General features: G+C 37.2%; 1 annotated feature.

Moving 5' to 3' along the window:
• Window positions 2,873-3,073: a silencer, noted in NCBI's record as "peak6703 fragment used in MPRA reporter construct". NCBI's record gives its function as "represses an SCP1 promoter by STARR-seq MPRAs in K562 erythroleukemia cells {active_cell/tissue: K562}" and the evidence as "EXISTENCE:reporter gene assay evidence [ECO:0000049][PMID:32103011]".

The raw sequence follows: 3,449 nt of genomic DNA, 5'->3' as shown, positions 1-3,449 counted from the left end.
TTAAATAGGGAATCCTTTCCCCATTGCTTGTTTTTCTCAGGTTTGTCAAAGATCAGATAGTTGTAGATAAGTGGCGTTATTTCTGAGGGCTCTGTTCTGTTCCATTGATCTATATTTCTGTTTTGGTACCAGTACCATGCTGTTTTGGTTACTGTAGCCTTGTAGTATAGTTTGAAGTCAGGTAGTGTGATGCCTCCAGCTTTGTTCTTTTGGCTTAGGATTGACTTGGCGATGCGGGCTCTTTTTTGGTTCCATATGAACTTTAAAGTAGTTTTTTCCAATTCTGTGAAGAAAGTCATTGGTAGCTTAATGGGGATGTTATTGAATCTGTAAATTACCTTGGGCAGTATGGCCATTTTCACGACATTGATTCTTCCTACCCATGAGCATGGAATGTTCTTCCATTTGTTTGTATCCTCTTTTATTTCCTTGAGCAGTGGTTTATAGTTCTCCTTGAAGAGGTCCTTCACGTCCCTTGTAAGTTGGATTCCTAGGTATTTTATTCTCTTTGAAACAATTGTGAATGGGAGTTCACTCATGATTTGGCTCTCTGTTTGTCTGTTATCGGTGTATAAGAATGCTTGTGATTTTTGTACATTGATTTTGTATCCTGAGACTTTGCTGAAGTTGCTTATCAGCTTAAGGAGATTTTGGGCTGAGACAATGGGGTTTTCTAGATATACAATCATGTCGTCTGCAAACAGGGACAATTTGACTTCCTCTTTTCCTAATTGAATACCCTTTATTTCTTTCTCCTGCCTAATTGCCCTGGCCAGAACTTCCAACACTATGTTGAATAGGAGTGGTGAGAGAGGACATCCCTGTCTTGTGCCAGTTTTCAAAGGGAATGCTTCCAGTTTTTGCCCATTCAGTATGATATTGGCTGTGGGTTTGTCATAGATCATCATCACTGGCCATCAGAGAAATGCAAATCAAAACCACAATGAGATACCATCTCACACCAGTTAGAATGGCAATCATTAAAAAGTCAGGAAACAACAGGTGCTGGAGAGGATGTGGAGAAATAGGAACACTTTTACACTGTTGGTGGGACTGGGACTGTAAACTAGTTCAACCATTGTGGAAGTCAGTGTGGCGATTCCTCAGGGATCTAGAACTAGAAATACCATTTGACCCAGCCATCCCATTACTGGGTATATACCCAAAGGACTATAAATCTTGCTTCTATAAAGACACATGCACACGTATGTTTATTGCGGCATTATTCACAATAGCAAAGACTTGGAACCAACCCAAATGTCCAACAATGATAGACTGGATTAAGAAAATGTGGCACATATACACCATGGAATACTATGCAGCCATAAAAAATGATGAGTTCATGTCCTTTGTAGGGACATGGATGAAATTGGAAATCATCATTCTCAGTAAACTATCGCAAGAACAAAAAACCAAACACCGCATATTCTCACTCATAGGTGGGAATTGAACAATGAGATCACATGGACTCAGGAAGGGGAATATCACACTCTGGGGACTGTGGTGGGGTGGGGGGAGGGGGGAGGGATAGCATTGGGAGATATACCTAATGCTAGATGACCAGTTAGTGGGTGCAGCACACCAGCATGGCATATGTATACATATGTAACTAACCTGCACAATGTGCACATGTACCCTAAAACTTAAAGTATAATAAAAAATAAAATAAAATAAAATAAAATAAAGTCTGTGTCTTCACAAGGGCTAAGTGGCAAACTTGATGTGTGAACCCAGGAAGCAGGAGAAACCTTGCTCTTAATCATCAGTGTACCTATATAAAATTAACCGCCCACACAAAATTGACTGTCAAATAAGGGACACAGAAAACAAATGCTTTGAGAATTATGCTGTGAAAGTGCTTTTTTCTTATATAGGGAAATGTGAGCATTATCTATTTGGTAAGCAGACAAAAATTTCTAATATAGGTTCAAAGGCTACTTAAAGTTCTACTTTGTTCTTGCTCTTGAAGAGGCACAAAGATGAGATCTTGAACAGCTAGAAGTTGATAATCAATTTTGGATTGCTATGAACCACTAGATTCAATGGCTCTACTTTCCTTTACTTCTTAATGTGTTCAAGGATAAATTTAAATGATCTATGACAAATGCTGGCATAAATTCTCCAGAAACTATTCAGTTATTCCAAAATTTCTTACCTCTAGAGCATAGGTTTCCTCACCTCACTTCCCTCTCTTATTGTCATCTACCAACTATTATATTTATTTGTCTTTATCGCTCGCCATTAGAAAAACACAACAAAATAGAACTAGTTTGTTGAATTCTCTTCTGATTTCCATATGGTTGATGTGTCTGAGAATTCCAGTAAATTAATAGATATATGCTGCTAAACAGCTACTTTGCTTTGCCCCTACAAGATGATACTAGGATCCATGTAGAAAGTTGTATATAATTTACACATTATCCATCAGATTTTTAAAATATTTCTTCTCATCAATCGTAATTTAAATTATTGAATCCTTATTGAAAATAATGATAAATTATAAGAGCAACAACTACATAATAAGAAACAAAATATGGCTGCATGTTTGTACTTTATGGCGTATTGCTCTTAGGTTGTGAGCTCTACAGCATCTTCAAGTTAGGTTTTAAAACTAGTTTTAACAGTGCTCTTTGTAAACGCAGCAAGACTAAAGGCAATTCAGTTATGTGGAATATTTTGTGCTGTTTAACATTATATTTTTCGATGAATTAAAGTGCCATAAAATAAATCATTAAAGATATTTGGAAACCGAACCATACAACAAATAATGAAGAACTAAGGGCAGGTCTATTTAGTCTGGAAAAGCGAAAATGTAGGAGAGCACTAACAGCCTTCTTTAAACATTTGAATGCCACTTCCATTTACTTCAATCTGTATGCAAATTATAATTATCTGTGAGACTCATTCTCTGCTTCCGTGTTAGGCCTTCATACTCCTGCCTGCACTGAAGATAGCTGGTCTAGTCAGAAGTCTTTTCCTCTTTGAAGGCTTTTTTGATATCCAACCTCACTGGTGAGTCAGGAGTTCTTTTATTCAGCTTCTGTAAGATCTTTGGCTGTACTTTCTTCATAGGATTAATCGTATTGGCTGACTGTGTATTTGACTTGTTCAGTTTTCAAGGGTAGAGATTTGTAATGTGCATTTCTATATTCAAGATCTGATAGAAACTTTGGCTATTAGCTACATGATGGATGAATGAGCAGATGAATGCATAAATGAATAGCATAAAGAAAGAAGAGTAGACATACTCTCTGTTGCTTTTATAAGCCTTTCACTGGCTAGAATTTATAGAGATGCAGAATTAGGGTCAAATAAAAACAGTATGACTTTCAGAACTGACAAGCAGGGTACAGACATCTTTACAAGGCATTAAGCTGATAGCCTTTAGCATTTGCACATAAAATCCATGTCTGAGGAGCTCTGGAAAGGATCACTGCATTTGGAGGAAT

The sequence above is a fragment of the Homo sapiens genome, chromosome 7 (genome assembly GCF_000001405.40).
Source record: "Homo sapiens chromosome 7, GRCh38.p14 Primary Assembly".
Classification (NCBI taxonomy): domain Eukaryota; kingdom Metazoa; phylum Chordata; class Mammalia; order Primates; family Hominidae; genus Homo; species Homo sapiens.
Note: the sequence above shows the minus strand (reverse complement) of the source record. Positions and strands in the feature narration are given on the sequence as shown.